Source organism: Homo sapiens, chromosome 16 (assembly GCF_000001405.40).
Source record: "Homo sapiens chromosome 16, GRCh38.p14 Primary Assembly".
Classification (NCBI taxonomy): Eukaryota; Metazoa; Chordata; class Mammalia; order Primates; family Hominidae; genus Homo; species Homo sapiens.
In genome coordinates, this window is record NC_000016.10 from 87,553,526 (window position 1) to 87,576,143 (window position 22,618).

The window sequence follows — 22,618 nt, forward strand, 5'->3', positions numbered from 1 at the left end:
ACAGGCAGGCGTCACCATACCCAGCTAATTTTTGTACTTTTAGGAGAGACGCGGTTTTGCCCTGTTGGCCAGGCTGGTCTCAAACTCCTGACCTTAGGATGATCCACCCGCCTCGGCCTCCCAGTGTGCTGGAATTACAGGTGTGAACCACTGTGCCTGGCTGCTTCTTTATTTTTTTAAGGTTACATGTTTCTGTGCGACTGTGCTTGCTGTTCTCCTAGTGGAGGTGCTATGGCCTTCATACCAATGGACGCACAGTGATACGGGCTGAGTGTGTCCCCCTCAAAATTCCTATGTTGAAGTCCTAACACTCAAAATGATGGCATCGCGAGATGAGGCCTGTGGTAGGTGATGAGGTCCAGAGGGAGCCTCGTGAATGGGATTCATGCCCCTCTTCCTTCATGTGAGGACACGGTGAGAAGGCGTCATCTGTGAACCAGGAAGCAAGCCCTCACCAGACACCGAGTCTCCCGGGGCCTTGATCTTGGACTTCCCAGCCTCCAGAACTGTGAGAAACAAATTTCTGTTGTTTAGAAGCCACCCAGTCCATGGAGTTTTTATTATAGCAGCCCACGCGGACTAATACACATAGACATCTAGAGATAAAGCAGTTATAATTGTTAGTTTTTGTCACTCGGTCAGAGTTTAACTTTGGCAAGTATGGTTTTTTGTTTTTGTTTTTGTTTTTGAGATGGAGTCTCGCTCTGTCACCCAGGCTGGAGTGCAGTGGTGTGATCTCAGCTCACTGCAAGCTCCGCCTCCTGGGTTCACGCCATTCTTCTGCCTCAGCCTCCTGAGTAGCTGGGACCACAGGCACCTGCCACCATGCCTGGCTCATTTTTTTTATTTTTTTAGTAGAGACGGGATTTCACCGTGTTAGCCAGGATGGTCTCAATCTCCTGACCTGGTGATCTGCCTGCCTCGGCCTCCCAAAGAGCTGGGATTACAGGCATGAGCCACCGCGCCCGGCCAAGTATGATTGTTTTAAATGAACCATCAAACACTGCCTTAAAGGTCCCCGTGTGTCCTCTCTGAGCCGATTCAACAAAACTACACAGCCAGGAAGCAATCCTGGGTACAGAAGAAGCTTCACACGTAAAGATGCTCATCATAGTGTTATTCACAATAGAAAATATTGGAAGCAACTTACACGTCCAACAAGAGGAGATGGTAGAATAAATGATTCCGTTTTCTCTAGATGGAATATTGTGGGATCATCAAAAGAGATGGTTTAAAAAAGGAGACAGCGATGGTTAGAAATGTTAAAATGTGCCTATCCTGGAACCCCACAATTTCACTTCCCAGAATTTATCCCAAAGACAGGCACAAGGGCAAGCATGAAGAAACAAGAGTAACGGGGTTTCACAATTATTGCGAAAAGTCGGAAACCACTCACGGTCACTCCGTAGAGGCTGGGTGACATGAACCGATGAACTTGCACAGAACGGAATGCAGTGACAGGGCTAGATTAGAAACAGACGGGCAAGTTCAAGGACCTAGTGAAGGGGCGGGTTATCAAGGTGTGTTGAGGAGGGGGTGAAAGGAGGTTGTCGAAGGATAGGAAGCAGCACAGGACTGGAAAGAGGGAAGCTGGGACCACCCGTAGGCCCAAACAGAAATGAGGCTTTCAGAAGAGAAGGAGGCTCCCGCCCATCGCCAGCGTCCAGGAGGAGACAGTGGGTAGGCACACCCCGCTCTCCTCCCACGCTCTGCTCTGTCCCAGTCTCCTGTTGGGCAAATCCAACTGAAAGGCAGAGAGTCCGTGGGGTGGGGTAGGTCAGCGCCCAAAGCATGGGGCAGGTGGAAAAGAGAGGAGATTGGATGAGGCGGGGCTAGCAGGAGAGGCCTCACATAGGGGCAAGCCAGAAAGACAGCGCCACATCTGAAAAGATGCCCGTGTGTGTCCACAAATTCTAAAGGTGACATATTTTAGTATCCTCGCTGTCCTAATCTCAGTGGAAGTGTACGAGTATAAAATGAAATAAAAACATTATATGCGTAGATGTATAGTGTGAATATATATCAGTGTATGCTTATACTTGTGCATACCCATGCATATGATGTAAAAATATATATAGCGGCAAGCAGATCTGTAGGTATGATCTTAAATTTGGAAATCAATCAATCAATACATTTATGTGGAGAGTTTTGAAAATCACGATCTGGCAATCCACGCACCACGGGGCTCGCGGTGATGATTCCTGGGTCATGAGACGATGGCGGCTTCCTGCCCTCCCTCCTCTCGTTACACTTTCGATCTTCTGAATATTTTGCAATGAGTATGTACGGCTCTCACAATGAGAGAAACAGCTATTTAGCAATAAATAAATAAATAAAATAAATAAATAATGTTGCAAGGACAAGCAGCGTTTACGAGAATGACAGCGTAACGTGCACTGGTGCCTAATGGAACAACATGAGGTGGGAAACGCAGTCCGGTGCCCGCTGTGAGTGTCTGTTTGGTGTGATGATGAGTGAGGATGTGTGTGAGGGGAAGCAGCCCCACCTGGGATGGATCAGAGGAGTTGGACTTCGATGGGGTGGAGGCCACGTGGGGGGTGATGCTCTTGTTCTTTCTCCACATTCCATGCACAAAACTAAACCAAACAGTGCTTTTTTTGTTTTTGTTTTTGTTTTTGTTTTTTGAGACAGGGTCTCGCTCTGTCTCCTAGGCTGGAGTGTTGTGGCTCAATCTCAGCTCATTGCAACCTTGACCTCCTGGGCTCAAGCGATCGTCCCATCTCAGTCTCCCAAGTAGCTGGGACCACAGGCATGCACCACCATGCCCGGCTACTTTTTGTATTTTTTGTAGAGATGGAGTTTTGCCATGTTGCTCAGGCTTGAACTCTTGGACTCAAGCGATCCTCCCGCCTCGGCCTCCCAAAGTGCTGGGGTTACAGGTGTGAGTCACTGCACCTGATCCCAAATGAGCTTTTAAAGGAGAACAGGAGGCTCAATGATTGGACAAGGAGGAGGCTGGGCTCTGTTTCCAGGGCAGAGGGAGGGGTCAGGTCAGTTCTAGAGGCCGGCTTTCCCAGTTTACAATGGGGGAAGCCGGGGCCCAGAGGGCAACTGTTGTTAATTAGCGCTGGCGCACTTTTCTCCCCAACCCCATGCGGGTTCTGTCGCACCTGCTCGCTCTTAGGACTGAATGCCCTACGATCCCCACCGAAAGGATGCTAGAGGTTACAGGAGTGGCCCCCTACCGCTCAGCCAGTAACAGGCTTTGAACCCTGCTAAACTCCGGTGGCACAGGCTGCGCGAGGCTTGCGTCTCCTCAGAAGGGCCGCTCCTCTCTGGTCAGCAAAATCTCCTCCCCGCCCAGGAATCTGGACGGCCCCTGCCATTTGCCTGGTTGTTCCCCTACCCGAGTGCCCTCGATTTTCCCCTCTGGCCCGGGCAGGAGCAGCAGGGCTGGATGCCAGGGCCCCAGGGGCAGGGAGGTGAGTGGGCAACACTCCTTCCCCCATGGGTAAGGCAGACACCCAGCCTCGGACCACATCAGAGACGCCTAGGGCCCCAGCCACAGCTGGGATCACTCAGCTGGGTAATGTCTCCACTTCCCGGCCAGGCCAGAGCTTTTCCATCCTGCCAGGACTTTCAAGAAAACAGCTGTCTGGCTGGTGAGTAGAGGGGCCTGGCCCTGGGTGGCCTTCCTGGCTGGCTGGCCCCAGGGACTCAGCAGGCACAAAAACAGCCTCGCTTCTCCCCAGCTGCCAGCTCAAGGTCTGAGGGACCCTGACAGGCCTGTCCTCGGCTCAGGGCTGACCCTTCTTCCCTTCCAGGCTGAACAGAAAGCAAAACATCAGCCTGCTGGCCCGTGGGGGTTGGGAGGGGCGGGTGTCATTGCCCTCTAACAGCCTGGACATTCTTGCAGTCACTTGGGCTCAAGAGGTTTAAAAGTTCCCACTGCTTGGAGGACAAGGACAGGCCAAGAGTGTCTGCTGGTGCAGGCAGTGGATGTCTGATTCCCCCAGGGGCAGGGATTTCCGTGGGACTCATGGAGGACTTTGGGGGCCCATGAACCTAGCAAGAAAAATTTATATGTTTGTTTTCACCAACCTTTAACTCACACACACAGATCCTGGACTCAGGGGGATCAGTCAGCTGTGACTTTGCTGTTCACAGAGACCTCGATAGGGACCCCGCAGCTAGTGTCCAGACAGACATCTCATAGCAGCACTGTCTTTACCTCCTCTTCCAGGCAGGCACCGTGATCACCCCCACTTTACAGATGAGAAAAGCCAGGCTGGGGGATGTCATTACTCAGGGTCCCCGGCTTGTGAACTGCTATTCGAACCCAGGTCCATCTGACCCCTTGGGGTTAATGCACTAAACCAGAATTGCAGGATTCCACAGCAGCTGACCGCCCCACAGAGGCCCACCTCTAGCAGAGGAGATGGGAAGGTTAGAGCTGGTTATTTAATGTGCTATAAAGAAACCCCTATCACTGAATCTCATCTAGAGCTATATACGTAACTGGCTTTGATTATAGTCTATGCATTTATTTATGCATTTAAAACATTATTCTGGGCAGGGATCCACAGGCTTCAATGGAATGGCAAAAGGATCCATGGCATGAAAAGGGTTAAGAACCCTTGCTTTAGAACCTGCTGGTAAAATAATAATGAGGAGGTGGAAAATAGAGTGCCACTTCCATGAGGGCAGGGCCTGCCTGTCTCCACGCACTGCTCTTGTTCTGGCATCTAAAGGAGCTCTTGGTCAGGAACAGCATCTGATTTCCCTAAGTTTACACCTTTAACCTGTTCCCATCTCACTATTCCCATTGGTACCATCGAGGCTGTTGTACAGAGTGCCCTGCAAATGCAGCCTCAAGACAAACCCTTCTGGTGAGGCTGCTGCCGGGACGATTCTCCCATATAAACCCTGGAGCAGCCATGCCCCTCAATAACTACCAATGGGAGAGGTGAGTTCCAGAGGGGTGTGCAGAAATGGCTCTGCAAAACCAGTCCAGGTGCAAATCCTGGCCCCATGATTCACTAGCTGGGTGACCTTGAGTGATTCCCCTAACCTTTCTGGCCCTTGTTTCCTTATCTGTGACATAGGCTTCATCATACAACAAGAAAAAATATTCCATATTTGCTTGATCACATATCTGTGCATTTATTCACCCACCCATCCAACCATTAGACCATTCACTCACCCATTCATCCATCCGTCCATCCATCCACCTATCCATCCATCCAGCCAGCCAGCCAGCCATCCACCCATTCCTCCACCCACCCACTCATCAATTCATCCATTCACCCATCCATCCATTCACCCATCCATCCAGTTATCCATCCATTCATCCATCTACCCATCCATCCACCCATTCCTCCACCCACCCACCCATCAATTCATCCATCCATCCATCCATCCATTCACCTATTCACCTGCCCATCATTCACCCATCCATCCATCTACTCATCCATCCATTCACCCATCCACCTACCCACCCACGCATTCATTCACCCATCCATCTATTCATCTACTCATCCACCCATCCACCCATTACTCCATCTACCCATCCATTCTATTTTTCGATGGGTTTCAGAATACATACATTTCCCCCTAAATACTTCCACATGCAAATCATTAATCAGGCTTTCATATTTCAGAAACTTAATTTTACTTCTAGAAATTAAGGTGGCCAAGTCCTGCCTCCTTCTTGCCTCTCCCTACTCCCACCCTGCCGCTCCAGGCTGAGATATCCTAGGGCAAGAACTAACAGGACCCTCTGAACTCCTCCCGGGCCCCTGGTTTCTGGAGACCCCTCTATGGAGGAGAATCTAAGGACAGCCTGAAGTTGGGGGGTGTGTGTGTGGTGGGGCGGGATGGCGGGGAGGGGTTGCTCCTCCTGAAGCCCTTCAGTGACAGCCAAGCACTTGCTTGTCTGGCTGTTGAGGCTTTTGCTTAACTTCCCCTGGGTGTCTCACCAGCTCTGGCACTGGTGCAAGCTCATCACCTTGGACCAGCTGCCTGTAGAGGTAGTGAGCTCGCCATCACTGGAAGTGATTAAGCAAAGACTGAAAGAAGCTCTGGTGGGGGTGGGAGAATGTTGTAGAGAAAATTTAACCCAGAACAGGGTTAAACTACATCAGGGCTTCTCAACTTCTGCGCTGTTGATATTTTGGGCTGGATAACTCTGTTATGGAGGCTGACCTGTGCACCGCAGGGCATCCTGCAATAGTTCTGGTCTCAATCCATTATATGCCAGTAGCACCCACCCCCTAAGCAAAATGAAAACCAAAAATGCCTCCCGTCATCACCAAATGTTCCCTGGGGGTGAACTTGACCCCAGGAGAGAACATCTGGATTAGAGGAAACCTACGGTCCCTTGGACCTTGAAATTCCAGGGTTGATCCTGCTCCCCAGGGCACCTCCCTCCTCAGTCCCCTCTGTTCATGGTCCTGTAGCCTTTCCATTGCCATGGAAACTGGAATCGTCTTTGCCTCTTTTTCTTCTTTTGCCCACCCCATTTACGCATTCTTTCAACTAACAAAACCCCATGTGCTGGGCCCAGGGGACATGGATGCAAACAGCCCCTGTCTCCTCTTCTGGGGCGAGAGTAACAATGGTCTGACTTCCCTAAGCGGTTTGAGGATTAAGTGAGACGGACAATGCCAGGAAACGTGCCAAGCAAAATGCGAGCGTGCGGTGGACGTCGTCAGCTCTTAGAATTCTAAGCTCTGCAGAGGAGGGGGGCGCCGGGCAATAGAAGAGGCCTGCCGTTGGAAGCAGGGTCTGCAGGGTAGAGGCGCCCTGGGCAGCAGGGCGCAGCAGGGGCGGGGTTGGAAGCAGCATGTGTGTAGTCACAGAAAAGCCAGGGAGGCAAGTATCCCAAAGCCCCAGAACCAGTCTTGGGGCTTGGTCCTCACCCCAGGGGCGCAATGCCCCTGGAGGGTTTTAAGAAGAGTGAGTGGCATGGATGGGGAGTGAGAAGGGGGCAGGAGTGGGGACGAAAAGACTAGCAGGCAGGCAGTTTCAGCAGCCCGGGAACTAGGCCGTGGGGGCTGGACCCAGTGAGGGAGAAAGAGCCTGGGGGCGGAGCCAGGGTTTTGGAGGAGGAGCCAGACCTCCCGGGGTGGGGCCATGACTGGGGGAGGAGCCATATCTCCTGGGGGTGGAACGAGGTCTCCTGGGGGTGGAGCCAGGCTTCCTAGGGTGGAGCTAGGCCTGGGGGCGGAGCCAGGCTCCTGCAGAGAACCCACGTCCCCTGGGGTTGGGGCCATAACTGAGGGGAGAATCCAGATTTCCCTGAGGTGGAACTAGGTCTCCTGGGGATGGGGCCAAGCCTGGAGCAGCAGCCAGACCTCAAGGGGTGGGGCCAGGCCTCCTGGGGTGGTGCTTTGCTTGGGGATGAGGCCATGACTGTGGGAGGAACCAGATCTCCTTGGGGTGGAACCCCGTCTCCTAGGGGTGGGGCTAGGACCGGAGTAGGTGCCAGGATCTTGGGGCTGGAGCTAGGCCTGGAGGAGAAGCCAGACCTCAAGGGGCAGGGCTAGGCCTTTGGGTGGGGCCAGGACTCCTGGAGGTGGGGCCATGCTTGAGGGAGGAGCCAGTTGTCCCTTGGGCAGGGCCAAGTAGGGGTGGGGCCAGGCCTTTGGGAGCTAAGGGAGGTCCAGAGGGTGGGGCCAATCCTGGGGTGGGTCTACGCTTGGGAAGGGCCGAGCCCAGCCCTGGTTGGAGAAGGAAATCAGAAGGGACGCCTCCTTGCTGGCCTTCTGGCTGAGCCTCAGAGCCTGGTTTTCACAGGGCGCCTTCATCTTTCGTCAACATCTGTCCAAATAGTACCTTTAAAAATCATTGCCAAAGCGTTTGCTCCTAAGGATTGGAAACGACCATCGGCAGGGGACGGGTTAAACCGATTAAGGTGACTGACACCGCGCAGTGATGCGCAGCCAGTGTAACGGCCCTGTGGAGGACATCTAGGTGCATCGTCTGGTAGAAGGTACGAGGGCAGACAGCATGGTCTGCATGCTCTATGCCACCATTTGGGCTCAAAAGCAAAACAACATACAATCATGTGGTTATCTACTCATCCAGAATTTCTGGAAAGACCCCAAGAAAGTGGTCACATTGCTTGCCTCTAGGAAGCTGGGAGCGGGACAGGGCTGTGAGGGACATGTCTCACTTTATTTTCACTTTATTCCTGAGCCAGCCGGGGCTGCGTGTGGCATTGGGCCACAGAACCAGACACAGGGCTCAGTGCGCTAAGGCGAGGGTTTCGTCCCGGGATGGGTGGCATCCAGGCACAGGCAGTCCTAGCCAGGCAGCAGCTCCACTGGAACAGCAACCTCACCCACTCCTGTCCTCTTGACTGCAAGACGGTGGCTCCACCGCCAAGGTCACGAGGTGTACCAGGCTGGAGGGAGAGCAGTGTACGGTACAGCCGAGGGAAAGGCTTTTCCAGAAGCCCCTGAACTGACCTGCAGGTCTCACTGGCAGCGCTGGGCACATGGCCCTGCCAGGCACAGAGAAGGTCATTTCTCAGCGGCACCCTGGTGCGCTGGACAGAGCTGGAGCTCTGTAGGAAGTGAGCATGGAGCTGGGGCTGGCACCTTTGCACCTCAGGAAATTTGCACTCTGTAACCCAGTTCCCTGCCTAATAGATTCAGCATCAGCCAAGGAACCAAGTGAGAACGTGCCCAGGGGAGCCAACTGCTTGTCCCCTCATCCGCACCCCCAGCTCATGTCTGTGGCACGGCCTGGGTGCAGGACCCCCCCCCCCCCCCGCCCCCTGTGGGAGCAGAGGCAGGCACGACTTGGTGGAAGGAGGTTCGAGGCAGCAGGGCCCTGCTTCCTGCTGGCGGGAGGATGGGGGCCGTGCCAGGTGACAGGTGAGATGGCAGATGGTGGCAGAGGGGGGTGCCAGTCTGGGAAGTAATGAGGTAGCTCATTATCAGGCAATGTTTGTTTGTGGCCGAGAACTCAGCGCCAGCCCAACTCAGCTCGGCCCAGGTTGGAGGCCTGCTGCTGCGCATTTAGAGAGAGCACAGCCCTGTCTGCATGCAGGGTCCTAGCTGCCCCTCTGTAAAAAATGCCTCTTGGTCAGCCGGAGATGTGCTTCAGATGCAGATCCCGGGCTCTGTTACCCAGAGACTGAAACCTGGTGGGTCAGAAGGAGCTCAGCAACCTGCATTTTTTTTTTTTTTTTTTTTGATTCGGAGTTTCGCTCTTATTGCCCAGGCTGGAGTGCAAAGGTGTGATCTCAGCTCACTGCAACCTCCACTTCCCAGCTTCAAGCGATTCTCCTGCCTCAGCCTCCCAAGTAGCTGGGATTACAGGCATGCGCCACCACGCCCGGCTAATTTTGTATTTTTAGTAGCGACGGGGTTTCTCCATGTTGGTCAGGTTGGTATCAAACTCCTGACCTCAGGTGATCCATCCGCCTCGGCTTCCCAAAGTGCTGGGATTACAGACATGAGCCACTGTGCCTGGCCTCAACCTGCATTTTTAGACAAGCTCCCAGGTGATTGGGATGCAGAAAGTCCCTGGCTTGACTAACTACAGATTTATATCCAGATGCAGTTTCTTGGGCACCTCTATGGGTGGGCACACCTCTACACCTGCTGCACACATTCGGTTCTGTTTGGTCCTCACTGGAGGATCGCTACCCATGAGGTCAAACTATCACCACCCCATTTCACAGACAAGGAAATGCAAGCCCAGAGAGGTGCAGTCCCGTGGTCTAGGTCACACAGCGCTTCCGGAGGACCCTGCACCTGGCAGACAGCCTTGGCCTCCCGGGCCCACAAAGCCTTTGCAGCTGCTCTGTCCTGTTTGTTTGTTTGTTTGTTTGTTTTGAGACAGAGTCTTGCTCTGTCACCCAGGCTGGAATGCAATGGAGCAATCTTGGCTGACTGCAACCTCTGCCTCCTGGGTTCAAGCAATTCTCCTGCCTCAGCCTCCTGAGTAGCTGGGATTACAGGCACGTGCCACCACGCCTGGCTACTTTTTGTGTTTTTTAAGTAGAGACGGTGTTTCACCATTTTGGCTAGGCTGGTCTCAAGCTCCTGACCTGAAGTGATTCGCCCACCTCAGCCTCCTAAAGTGCTGGGATTACAGGCATGAGCCACCACACTTGGCCTGTCCTGTTTGGTCTTGCAGCGTATTGAAGGTCTGGTGCTGTTACCCGCCTTTAACAGACAGGGCAGACTGAGGCTGTAGGGGCTGGGTGACCCTCTGAGTTCCAGCCCTTTCAGGGAGTAGGTGTCTCTATTGGGGTTCTCCAGAGAAACAGAACCAAAAGAGTGGGTGTGTTGCGGTGTGTGCGTGTGTGCACATGCATGTGTGTGCATTTGTGTGTGTGCATGTGTGCACATGCGTGTGCATTTGTGTGTGCGCGTGTGTGTTGGGGTGTGTGCGTGTGCGCACATGCGTGTGTGTTCATGTGTGTGCTGGGGTGTGTGCGTGTGCACATTTGTGTGTGCGTGTGTGTTGGGGTGTGTGTGTGCACATGCGTGTGTGTGCGCGTGTGTTGGGGTGTGTGCGTGTGTGCACGGGCATGTGTGTGCATTTGTGTGTGCGTGTGTTGGGGTGTGTGCGTGTGTGCACATGCGTGTGTGCGCATTTGTGTGTGTTGGGTGTGTGCTTGTGTGCACGTGCATGTATGTGCATTTGTGTGCGTGTGTTGGGGTGTGTGCGTGTGTGCACGTGGTGTGCACGTGCGTGTGTGCCTGTGTGCGTGCTTGTGTTGGGGTGTGTGCGTGTGTGTGCATTTGTGTTGGGGTGTGTGCATGTGTGCACCTGCATGTGTGTGCGCATGGGTGTTGGGGTGTGTGCGCGTGCGTGTGTGTGCATTTGTGTGTGTGCGTGTGTGTTGGGGTGTGTGCGTGTGTGCGCATTGGGGTGTGTGGGTGTGCACTGCGTGTGTTGTGGTGTGTGCGTGTGTGCACGTGCGTGCGTGTGTTGGAATGTGCGTGTGTGCACGTGCGTGTATGTACATGTGTGTGCGTGTGTGTTGGGGTGTGTGCACGTGCATGTGTGTGGATTGTGTGTGTGTTGGGGTGTGTGCACATGCATGTGTGTGTGTGGGTGTGGGTGTGTGTGTGGACGTGCGTGTGTGTGCATTTGTGTGTGTGCACATGCGTGTATGTGTTGGGGTGTGTGCGTGTGTGCACGTGCGTGTGTGTGCATTTGTGTGTGTGTGTGTGTGTGTGTGTGTAGAGGCATTTATTTTAAGGAATTGGCTCAAGTGATTGTGGAGGCTGACAAGTCCACAGTCTGCAGGGTGGGCCACCAGGCTGACAACCTGGGGAAGCATTGATGTTGCAGCTCAAGTCCCGGGTCGTCTGCTGGCAGAATTCCTTCTTGCTTGGGGAATATCAGTTTTTTTGCTCTGTGTTTTTTGTTCCACTGACTGGAAGAAGCCGATGTTCTGGAGGGCAGCCTGCTTTACTGGAAGTCCGCCGATCAAAATGTTCCTCTCATTCCAAAACACCCTCATGGAAACATCCAGAATAACATTTGACAAACTTGTGGGCGCCATCGCCCACCCAATGTGATGCATAAAATTGACCATCACAACACCCAGTAACTACTTGTTGAATGACTAAATGAACCCTCCCGGGGCCAGGCAAGGCCTGCTTCTGTTAGGGCAGGTTCCTCGTTCGTGAGCGTGAACCCGGATCTGAAAAAGCTCCCTGTGGCCCGTGGCTAGCACCTGCCCGGGTGGCCGCCTCTTACTATGACCTTAGTCCTGGGCTCCTACCTGCTCCCTGCTGGAGGAGACTAGTCCAGGCCAGGGCCAGCTTGACTCCTGCCCGCTGCTTCCGCACGCAGTCGTGCCCAGCCCTGCGGGGCATCTCCAGTTCCGGCCAGAATGCTGGTGGCCTCTCCGGAAGTGTGCCAGCTTGGTCCTCACAGGTGGTGGCCTCTGAACACCTACCACCACCTCCTGGGGAATTATGGAGAGTTTTGTTTTTCGACATTGACCTTGAGCCTGCAGCTTGACTTCTCTCTCATTATGTAACCTGCCACCTGGGGAGGGTTCCAAGGCTTGCCGTGCTGACCCCACCTTGCCATCGCAGGGGAGTACTTGGGACCCAGGTTACCTGTTGGCAAGTGGTGTCGCATGGGGGCTCTGGAGTCCAAGTCTGGCTGGAATCCCCACTCTGCATGGCAGGCTGAGCCTCCCTGGGCCTCAGTATCCTCAACTATAAATGGAGAAAACACTAGGACCTGCTTCAAGGCTGCTGTGGGAATCAAAGGGAAGGAGGCAGGAACTGTCTGCCGCAGGCCTGGGGTGTAGAGGGCTGTACATGAACTAAATGCTGCCACGGCCATCGGCATCCTCATCGTTGTGCGTGTGTGTGTGTGTGTGTGCGTGTGTGTGTAGGGGCATTTATTTTAAGGAATTGGCTCAAGTCCCGCCTTCCTCCCTGTCCCTCCCCTCAGGGGAAGGCTTTGGTGGGGAGGTGGTGTTCTGCCGGGGGCCGTACAATCCACCCATCTTCTTGCTACCTGTCAGCAAGTGGCTCACCCTGCCGCCACTCCAGGTGAGCTGTGGATTGAGGAACCCTAGTCCTGATCTCCCATCGGTGGTAGGAAGCCGGGCATCTGTATAGACCAAGAGCGGCAGCAGCCCAGCTAAAGTGTGGCCTTTGGCAGAATGGTTCAAGTCTGGCTCTGCCCTCTGTGACTGGACAGGAAGCTTGGCTTCTTTGGGCATCTGACTCCTCCTCTGTAAAATGAGGGTGGTGACAGCAATGCCTCCAGGACAGTGTCAAGAATGAAACGAGAGATTGTAGGTGCTGAGGTTTGAATGTTTGTCCCCTCTGAAACGCATGTTGAAACTTTTTTTTTGTTTTTGTTTTTTTTGAGACGGAGTTTCACTCTTGTTGCCCAGGCCGGAGTGCAATGGCATGATCTCAGCTCACCACAACCTCCACCTCCTGGGTTCAAGCGATTCTCCTGCCTCAGCCTCCCGAGTAGCTGGGATTACAGGCATGCACCACCACATCCGGCTAATTTTTTTGTATTTTCAGTAGAGACGGGGTTTCTCCATATTGGTCAGGCTAGCCTCGAACTCCCGAACTCAGGTGGATACCCACCTCGGCCTCCCAAAGTGCTGGGATTACAGGTGTGAGCCACCGCGCCCAGCCTTGCATGTTGAAACTTAATTCCCAGTGCAGCTGTGTTGAGAGGTGGGGCCTTTAAGAGGTGATTGGGTCGTGAGGACTGTGCCATTCCTGGGTTAATGGGTTAATAGAGGAGTGGGTTCTCATGGAAGCGGACTGTTGCTTCGAAAGACCTGAGCTTGCACACTCAGTCCCTGCACCAGGGGATGCTCTGCGCCACCTCGGGGTGCCACAGAGGGCTCCCACCGGCAAGAAGGCTCCCCCCAACCTTGAACTTCTCAGACTCCATAACTGTAAGAAATAAATTCCTTTGTTTTGTAAATTTCCCAGTTTCAGGTATTCTATTATAAGCGACAGAACATGGACTAAGGCAGTAGGAAAGAGGCTTATCCTAGAGCCTGGCAGACAGTGAAGACCCCAAATAAAAATACACACCGAGGTGTTGTCAAGAGCGGCCTGTCCATGAGGGGTCTGGGCCCTTCTTATACTGGGCTATCCGCTGGGCACTGCGTTAACTTCTTCTTAAATAGGAACTTCACCATTTTTCGTATTTTAACGTGTGCATTTGTGCGTTCACAGAGTTGTTGCCACCGTTACCAGTATTTAATTCCAGAACTTCTCATCATCCCTCACAGAAGCTCTGTCCCCATGAGCAGTCCCTCCCTGTCCCCTCGCTTCCTTGACCACCCCTCGTCGGCTTTTACCTGTGCTGGAGGTTTCGTGTAAGTGGAATCACGCTGTGTGAGTTTGTGTGTGTGGCTTTTTTCTCTTTGCACGCGTTTTCAGGGCCCATCCATGATGTAGCGTGTTGATGCTTTGTTCCTTCTTACAGCTGAATCCTATTCCATTGTATGGAGAGACCACAGCTTATCTGCTCATCTGCTCATCCATTGAAGGACATTGGGATGTTTTCTTTCATTAACTGCCAAAACGTATTTCTTTTTATTTTTTATTTTTTTTGAGACGGAGTCTTGCTCTGCCGCCCAGGCTGGAGCGCAGTGGCGCAATCTTGGCTCGCTGCAACTTCCGCCTCTTGGGTTCAAATGATCCTTCTGCTTCAGCCTCCTGAATAGCTGGGATTACAGGTGTGTGCCACCACACCCAACTAATTTTTTGTATTTTTAGTAAAGACGGGGTTTCACCATGTTGGTCAGGCTGGTCTCGAACTTCTGACCTCGTGATCCACCTGCCTCAGCCTCCCAAAGTGTTGGGATGACAGGCATGAGCCACCGCGTCCGGCCAATATATTTCTACTGGTAGAGTTGGGTTTTTTTGCTTTTTTTTTTTTTTTGAGACAGAGTCTCGCTCTGTCGCCCAGGCTGGAGTGCAGTGGCGTGATCTCGGCTCACTGCAGGCCCCGCCTCCTGGGTTCACGCCATTCTCCTGCCTCAGCCTCCCCAGTAGCTGGGACTACAGATGCCTGCCACCATGCCCGGCTAATTTTTTGTATTTTTAGTAGGGACGGGGTTTCACCGTGTTAGTCAGGATGGTCTCAATCTCCTGGCCTCGTGATCCACCCGCCTCAGCCTCCCATAGTGCTGGGATTACAGGCGTGAGCCACCGCGCCCGGCCGTCTACTAGTAGAGTTTTAATGGAAGTGTGGCATACATGCGAAAATCTCATGAGTCATACATGCGCCATGAGCTGAATTTTCACAGGGTAAACACAGCCATGTAACAGCACCCAGGTCAAGAAATAGAGCATTACCACCCCCCAGAAGCCCCTTTCATGTCCCCTCCTAGACTGTCCACTCCCTGACAGTAACCAGTAATCTGACCATTAATCAGCTTTATCTCTGAGATTAGGCCGGGCTCAGCTGCTCACACTTGTAATCCCAACACTTTGGGAGGCCGAGGTGGATGGATCACTTGAGGTCAGGAGTTGGAGACCAGCCTGGCCAACATCGTGAAACCCTGTCTCTACCAAAAATACAAAAATTAGCTGAGTGTGGTTGTATGTCCCTGTAATTCCAGCTACTTGGGAGGCTGAGGCAAGAGAATTGCTTGAACCTGGGAGGTGGAGGTTGCAGTGAGCCGAGATTAAGCCTCTGCACTCCAGCCTTGGCGACAGAGCAAAACTTCATCTTAAAAAAAAAAAAAAAGAAAAAAAAAGGCTGGGCACAGTGGCTCACGCCTGTAATCCCAGCACTTTGGGAGGCCGAGGCGGGCAGATCACGAGGTCAGGAGATCGAGACCATCCTGGCTAACACGGTGAAACCCCGTCTCTACTAAAAATACAAAAAATTTGCCGGGCGTGGTCGTGGGCGCCTGTAGTCCCAGCTACTCTGGAGGCTGAGGCAGGAGAATGGCGTGAACCCGGGAGGCGGAGCTTGCAGTGAGCCGAGATTGCACCACTGCACTCCAGCCTGGGTGACAGAGTGAGACTCTGTCTCAAAAAAAAAAAAAAAAAAGAGATTTATCTCTGAGATTTCCATAAGTGAAATTAGACAGCATGTGCTTTCTGTGTGCCTGGCTTCTTTCACCCATTGCCACGTTTGTGCAAGTCATGCACGCTGTTGTATGCTGTTTTAGCTCATTCATGTTCGTTGCTGCATAGTATTCCCTGATATTCCATGGTACAAATAGAGCAAATCAGTGTATTCATTTGTGTGGGTTGCTCCCAGGTTAGGGCTGACACCATTCATGCTGCTGTGAATATTCTTGCATATGCCTCTTGGTGGACAAATGCACTCACATCTGTTGAGTCCTGGGAGTGAGACCTGAAGTCATGGGCTGTGTGTGGTCAGCTTTCATAGATGTTGCCAGTTCTACGAAGTCCTGCAAGTAAAGACCCTCTAGTTGTATCGGAGAGTTCCAGTTGTTCTACATTCTTGCCTTCCATTAACTTTTGTTTTTAACTGTTTTATTGAAATACAATTCACATACCATACAATTCATCCATTTAAAGTTTTTTTAAAGAGCAGTTCGTGGATTCATGGGGTTGTGCAGCCATCACCACAGTCAGTTTTGGAACATTTTCATCACTCCTGAACCCCTACCTGTCAATCCCCAATCCTTCCATCCCTCAGCACTCGGGTTTTCTGTGTCTATGATTCGGGCATTTCATACAAGTTGAATCATGCAATATTTGTCTTTGGTTTGGCTTCTTTTACCCAGCATCATATTTTCAAGGTTCATGCACATTGTAGCATGTGTCAGGATCCGTTCCTTTTCATGGCTGAGTAATATTCCATCACATGGATAGACCATGTTTTGTTTAACCATTTATCATTTGATGGGCATTTGGGTTGCTTCCACCTTTTGGCTATTGTGAACATGGCTTCTGTGAACATTCACGTGCAAGCTTTTATATGGACAGATGTTTTCCATTTCCTTGGGTAGATATCCAGTGTGGCGGGGAGCACAAAATGTGATAACTCTAGGTTAAACTGTTTGAGGAACTGCCAGACTGCTTTCCGTGGCAGTTGCGCTATTTTACATCCTCACCAGAGCTGTCTCTGTGCCCACGAAAACATGCCGCTCCTCCACACAGTGCTGAGCACAGGCAAATCTCTCAGGGCTTGGCGTCTTCTTGCTGGGGGGCGGGAGGGGACAAGGTAGTGTCTGCTTCGATGGTGGGGTCGGCACCTGGGCAGTGTCCAGTGTCTGCTTTGATGACGGGGTCAGCATCTGGGCAGTGTCCAGGACACCCTTGCTGGTCTGGCACGAATGCTGTGGCCACGGCAGCATCTGAAGGTGGCATCCTGCCCAGAGTCCCCAGCGGGACCTGCTGCCCACAGCCTCGGGCCCCTCACTGTGAACTGTCACGTTCCCTGGTTGGCAGGAGTCCCCGGGGAAGAACAATTGGTGTGAACTCCCCGTGCGGGGTGGGGACTGGGCGCAGGGAAGTCTCATCATTTCTAGGGAATTTCACAGAGGCCGCCCAATGGGCTGTTCCAAGGCCATGTGTGCCCAAAGCCCACTCCAGCCAGTTGGAGAAGGGGCCTCAGACGGCCCTTTGTCTTTAGTGTCTTGTAATCCAGAGAGTTCCCTTTGGAGTGGAGAAATTCCCCAGAACAAGAGGAGGGGGTTCTGGGTCCTGCCCGTGAGAACACAGAAGCTCCTAGGGGCAACACCCCTTAGATAAACACACAGAGGAGGCCACACAGCCTCACAGCCAGCAGCAGGGACGGAGCTTGGTGCCAAACACTGGATGCTGGGGGCAGGACAGGCCCCGTGGACACGCCAGCACAGTCTCCTGCCCAAATGGGAGACCCTCAAAGGCAGCTCCCAGGGCTTCCCACTGACCTTCTGGCCCGAGCCCTGCATTCCTTGTTCTGACAAGGCCTGGGAGTTCCAGAGCCTTCCCCTCACTCCCGAGTGACCTTGGGCAAGTCCCTCCCCATCCTGGGTCTCTGCATGCCCATCAGCGGGGCACAGGGTACACCTAGTGATGCTCAGGGCTCTCCCTGCCCTGAGCTCCCTGGGGAAGCTGCGATGAACCGCAAAGCAACCAGCTCTTTTTGGGTAAAAATCCTGCAGGCTCATTTGCCGGGTGGTGGCTGTCCCCGAGGCCATGTGAGTCTCTATTCCAGAGCCCAGGAATGCCTGGTGGTGGAGGCCAGCCACCCTGGCCGGAGACTGCCCTGTGTCCACGGAGCCCTTGGGCCTCCCAGCGGTGGGGAGGGAGAAGGAACAGCTGCTGGAAAATGCCAGACGTCTTCATTGTGATCGGCATGAGGGTTGGCTCCAAGCACGGAGACTGGTTCTCCTTCCCTCCTTTATTTGCTCAGCTTTGAGCTCACGGACTGACACTTACCAGGAGTTTAACAAATATTTATCGAATGAATGAATTCATTCATTTACTTATTCAATCAAGAAGATTGAAATCTTACAGTCAGAAGCTGCAGCCACAGAGGCAGCCCAAAGCTCGTTTATTAAATGCCGGCTGTGGTGGCCGTGTCCTGCCAGCATAGTCTGGTGTGGCCTCTATGGCGCCCTCGGGAGGGTGGTGACAATATAGCACAAGGTGCTCAAGCTCCTGGGATGGCTTCACCTGGAGGCTGGGGAGGCAGGGTGGGAAAGGTGAGCACCGTCATTACATGAGGGTGACTCCTGCCCAGTGACAGAGGCAAGGCTGCTGGGAACAGTGCTGGGTGACGGGCCGCCTTTCCCTCACTTGAATGCCATTCACACCCAGCTTCATTTTTCTTCTGAGTCACATTCTCGGGCCTGGACGAGGCCATCTATTACTGGAGTTTTAAGCTGCTTTGTGAACCACAGGACAGCTGGCCGCTTGGTGAGGCCTGTTCCACCCTGGGGGCCTCGTGGTGGGGAGTGGGCAGGATTTTAAAAATCTAACCAGAGGTGACAAGCAGAGCAGCCCCAGCAGAGGGAAGACGAATGAGGCAGGAGCCAGGGGACGTCCTGGAAAGCCCGGATCCAGGTCATTTTTTGGCTGAGAGCCACCGTGGGGCTGTGCTGGGCCAGGAAAGACCCATGACAGGAAAGGCCATTTTAATGCCCTCAGTTCTTTTCCTTTTTTGGGATGGAGTATCACTCCATCACCCAGGCTGCAGTGCAGTGACAGAGTGCAGGACAGGCTCGGCTCCCTGCAGCCTCCGCCTTCCGGGTTCAAGCAATTCTCCTGCCTCAGCCTCTCGAGTAGCTGGGATTACAGGCGCCTGCCACCACGCCTGGCTAATTTTTGTATTTTTAGTAGAGACGGGGGTTTCACCATGTTGGCCAGTCTGGTTTTGAACTCCTAACCTCAAGTGATCCGCCTGCCTCAGCCTCCCAAAGTGTTGGGATTATAAGCGTGAGCCACCGCACCCGGCCGATGCCTTCAGTTCTATATTTGTGCACCTTACACTCTGAGATCTCTCTCTCCAGCAGCTTCCTACCTGATTCATGAGGCCGTGATCCTCACAGGGCCTCCAGGCTTCTGGCCTTGCCCACGGCCTCCTACGAGCAATAACCACAACCCCACTGGGGCTCATGGACAGCGCACGGCCTGTAAGTAAGGCACAGGCAAGAGCACATGCAAACTTCACAGGGAGGCCTGGAAATGAGATTCTTGGAAGCTATGCTTTTCGAATAAGGAAACAAGCTCAGAGAGGCTGAGTGTCTCTCTGAGGTCCCACAGGTGCAGGTGCTGGAGCTGGGACTTAACCCGAAGTCCTGTTCCAGAGCTCTGCCCTCGCTCCTGTTACAGGTGTAGCCCCCTGGCATGGCCCTGCTGCCTGGGCTGGGGTCTGCCCAACGCTTCTGGTTCCCACCCACACTCCCCTCCCCAGGAAGATGCCCCTGAGAAGCTGGCCCACCTGGTTCTCTGCAGTCTCTGGCGCACCTGCCCCCTGACCTTCAGCCAGGTCCTGCCTCTAGGATGTTCACTCAGGTGAGAAAGCTGTCCAGAACCATGTGTATCTAGGACCAAACTTCATTGTACACACAAACATGCACTGCACAGTTTTACTCCATCTGTTACCAGGAATGCAAGGATTTTGCCGATGGAGGGGAGATTGCATTGTGTTCAGAACTTTGATTCAGAACAGAGCTTTTCACACTTTGGAAAACCACATCCCCAGTGGCCAAGTGGGGTAAGGTAGGTGAGTGCTCCAGGTGCTGCACTGGGGCTGGGTGCCGCCGTTTGCTGTCATGCCCACTGTGGGCCACCGTGGCAAGCAGATGACAGCCCTGTTCTCTCTTCCCCGGGGAGGCATGGAAACCCCATTATTTTATATTTATGTTTGTTCCTTTCTCATCAGCTGCGTATTACAGTTGGGGCATTATGTGGAGTTGAAGAAGGTGTTTTGTAGGTTTCCATGCATTTCATTTCAGGATAGCAATGGACATGTAAAGTTATTTGCTGTAAAGAAGGAGGTTGACCCCGTCTCTACTAAAAATATAAAAAATTAGCCGGGCGTGGTGGCGGGCGCCTGTAGTCCCAGCTACTTGGGAGGCTGAGGCAGGAGAATGTCGTGAACCCGGGAGGCGGAGCTTGCAGTGAGCCGAGATAGCGCCACTGCACTCCAGCCTGGGTGACAGAGCGAGACTCCATCTCAAAAAAAAAAAAAGAAGGAGGTTGATCTGTTGGGTTGAACACTACCAGCTGGGAGATGCACCCTTGGGGATGGACGAATGCTTTAAATTTTTTTTTTTTGCTCAGCCACTGCTTTTTTTTTTAAAAGCTTTATTGAGATATAATTAATATATTGAAATCTGGCCAGCTACAGTGACTCAGGCCTGTAATCCCAGCACTTTGAGAGGCCAAGGTGGGTGGATCACTTGAGATCAGGAGTTCAAGAACAGCCTGGCCAACATAGCGAAACCCTGTATCTACAAAAAAATACAAAAATTAGCCAGGCGCGATGGCACGCACCTGTGATCCCAGCTACTCAGGAGGTTGAGGCATGAGAATTGCTTGAGCCTGGGAAGTGGAGGTTGCAGTGAGCCAAGATCATGCCACTGCACTCCAGCCTGGGCAACAGAGCAAGACTCTGTCTTAAAAAAAAATCTGCACATATTTAATGCGTAATTTGATGAGTTTGGACATCGGCAAACAGCCGTGATACCAACACCATGATCAGGGAAATCAACACATCCGGCACCTCCAGAACACTCCCCATGTCCCCATTATTTGTGGTAAGAACATAGTGTGAGACCTGTCCTCAGTCTTTTTTTTTTTTTTTTGAGACAGTCTCGCTCTCTTGCCCAGGCTGGAGTGCAGTGGCGTGATCTTGGCTCACTGCAACCTCCGCAGGGTTCAAGTGATTCTCCTGCCTCACCCTCCTGAGTAGCTGGGATTACAGGTGCCTGCCACCATGCCTGGCTGATTTTTGCATTTTTAGTAGAGACAGGGATTCACCACGTTGGCCAGGTTGGTGTCGAACTCCTGATCTCAGGTGATCCGCCTGTCTTGGCCTCCCAAAGTGCTGGGATTACAGGTGTGAGCCACCATGCCCGACCTATTTTTTATTTTTATTTTATTTTATTTTGAGACAGTGTCTCACTCTGTCACACAGGCTGGAGTACAGTGGTGCATTCATAGCTCACTGCAGCCTCAAACTCCCAGGCTCAAGTGAATCCTCCCACCTCAGCCTCTCAAGTAGATGGGACCACAGGTGCGTGCCACTACACTGGGCTAATTCTTAATTTTTTTTGTAGAGATGGAGTCTCACTATGTTACTGTCTTGAACTCCTGGCTTCAAGCGATCCTCCCGCCTCTGCGTGAACTATGGCACCCAGCCCCCAGTGATGTTTTTATGTGATTTCTTAAAATTAGGATCCACATATTATCCACGCTGTGCATCTTGTGGTTCTGTTGCTTTTCCCTCCCTGGTCCCTTTGCCACTCCCCTAGCCTACCCCACCCTAAGACAGCAGGGACACCCACTTTCCCTGTGCAAAGCGACTTTCCCATCTCCCATCTGTGCATCCAACCAAGATTCGAGGAGCAGCCACCTCGTGCTAAGGGGTACATTCCTGAGGATGACCCTGGTCCCTGCCATGTGGACAGCAGAGTCTAGAGGAGGAGAGAGCGGAGACAAGCATTAGAAAAAGAGTGGCTGATGGCTCCAGACTCTGCTGAGAGGCGAGGAGCCTCCCCCTGCCTGCTCCTGCCTGCTCCCTCCTCCCTGCACTGATCCCTTCCTCCTGCCCCCAGTGGGCCGCCTGGTTAATTACCACTGCCTCCCAGCTTCTCCAGCTCCCACACCTCCAACTCCCCAGCCTAAGGGAGGAGCCTCCCTGGTCCCCTTCCTGAACGATATTTACATGCCAGCCACGCTCCGCTCCAGAAAGAGGAGGACTGTGGCAATTTCCTTTTTATCAATGAAGCTCAGAGAAGTCGATAACCTACCCAGAGTCACCCAGAAATGAACCTCTGGAGGCAGGATGCAAACCCAGCAGGGCCTCAGGGTCACGCTGTTTTTTCCCCTAGGGTTGAGAGAGCGGGATCCGGGTGGACACTGGAGTTCCTCCGAGCTTAGATGAGCTGTATCAGGGTTTGGCAAACCACGTCCCTTGGGCCAAATCCCACTGCGGCCTGCTTTTGTAAATAAAGTTTTATTGGAACACAGCCACACCTGTGCATTGACATATTACTTATGGCTCTTCTGTTTCTCCAATGGCAGAGCCCAGGGGTTGCAACAGAGACCATTTGTGCAAAAGCCAAAAATCTTCACTGTCCAGCCCTTACAGGAAAAGTTGGCCAAACCCTGTGCTACATGTTTAGCAGGACAAAGAGAAAGAAACCTGTAGGAGCCTCTCTTCCCCCAACCTAAATTATTTACAATTTAAATTTAAAGCCACTTTCATTTAGTGGCCTATTCTTGAACTGGCTCTGAAAAGGATTCCTTGTTCTGGAAGGCAGAGAGTGTGAGACTGTAGAGGTGAGAGTGAAAATCTTAAGGCCCATGTCTGAATTCTAAGGATATACTTCCAAATCTGTGTGCATTCCCTGCATGAACTATTTAATTTAAATTTTTAAAAAGAGGAAGAAAATAGCCATCTCCATGGTTTTTCCTTCTCATTGCTCCAATTCCATAACAACAAGCCCTCCAGCAAGCCTCAATTTATTCAAATTCCCAAGCTG

General features: G+C 52.6%; 4 annotated features.

Moving 5' to 3' along the window:
* Positions 3,584-4,083: an enhancer, noted in NCBI's record as "H3K4me1 hESC enhancer chr16:87590715-87591214 (GRCh37/hg19 assembly coordinates)". NCBI's record gives its function as "activates a minimal SCP1, AML or CMV promoter by ChIP-STARR-seq in naive H9 embryonic stem cells {active_cell/tissue: H9 hESC(naive)}" and the evidence as "EXISTENCE:reporter gene assay evidence [ECO:0000049][PMID:30033119]".
* Positions 17,778-18,072: a silencer, noted in NCBI's record as "tiled region #12005; HepG2 Repressive non-DNase unmatched - State 4:PromP, and K562 Repressive DNase matched - State 4:PromP". NCBI's record gives its function as "represses a minimal TATA promoter and a strong SV40 promoter by Sharpr-MPRA in HepG2 and K562 cells {active_cell/tissue: HepG2 | K562}" and the evidence as "EXISTENCE:reporter gene assay evidence [ECO:0000049][PMID:27701403]".
* Positions 17,778-18,810: a biological region, named in NCBI's record as "Sharpr-MPRA regulatory region 12005".
* Positions 17,892-18,810: an enhancer, noted in NCBI's record as "H3K4me1 hESC enhancer chr16:87605023-87605941 (GRCh37/hg19 assembly coordinates)". NCBI's record gives its function as "activates a minimal SCP1, AML or CMV promoter by ChIP-STARR-seq in primed H9 embryonic stem cells {active_cell/tissue: H9 hESC(primed)}" and the evidence as "EXISTENCE:reporter gene assay evidence [ECO:0000049][PMID:30033119]".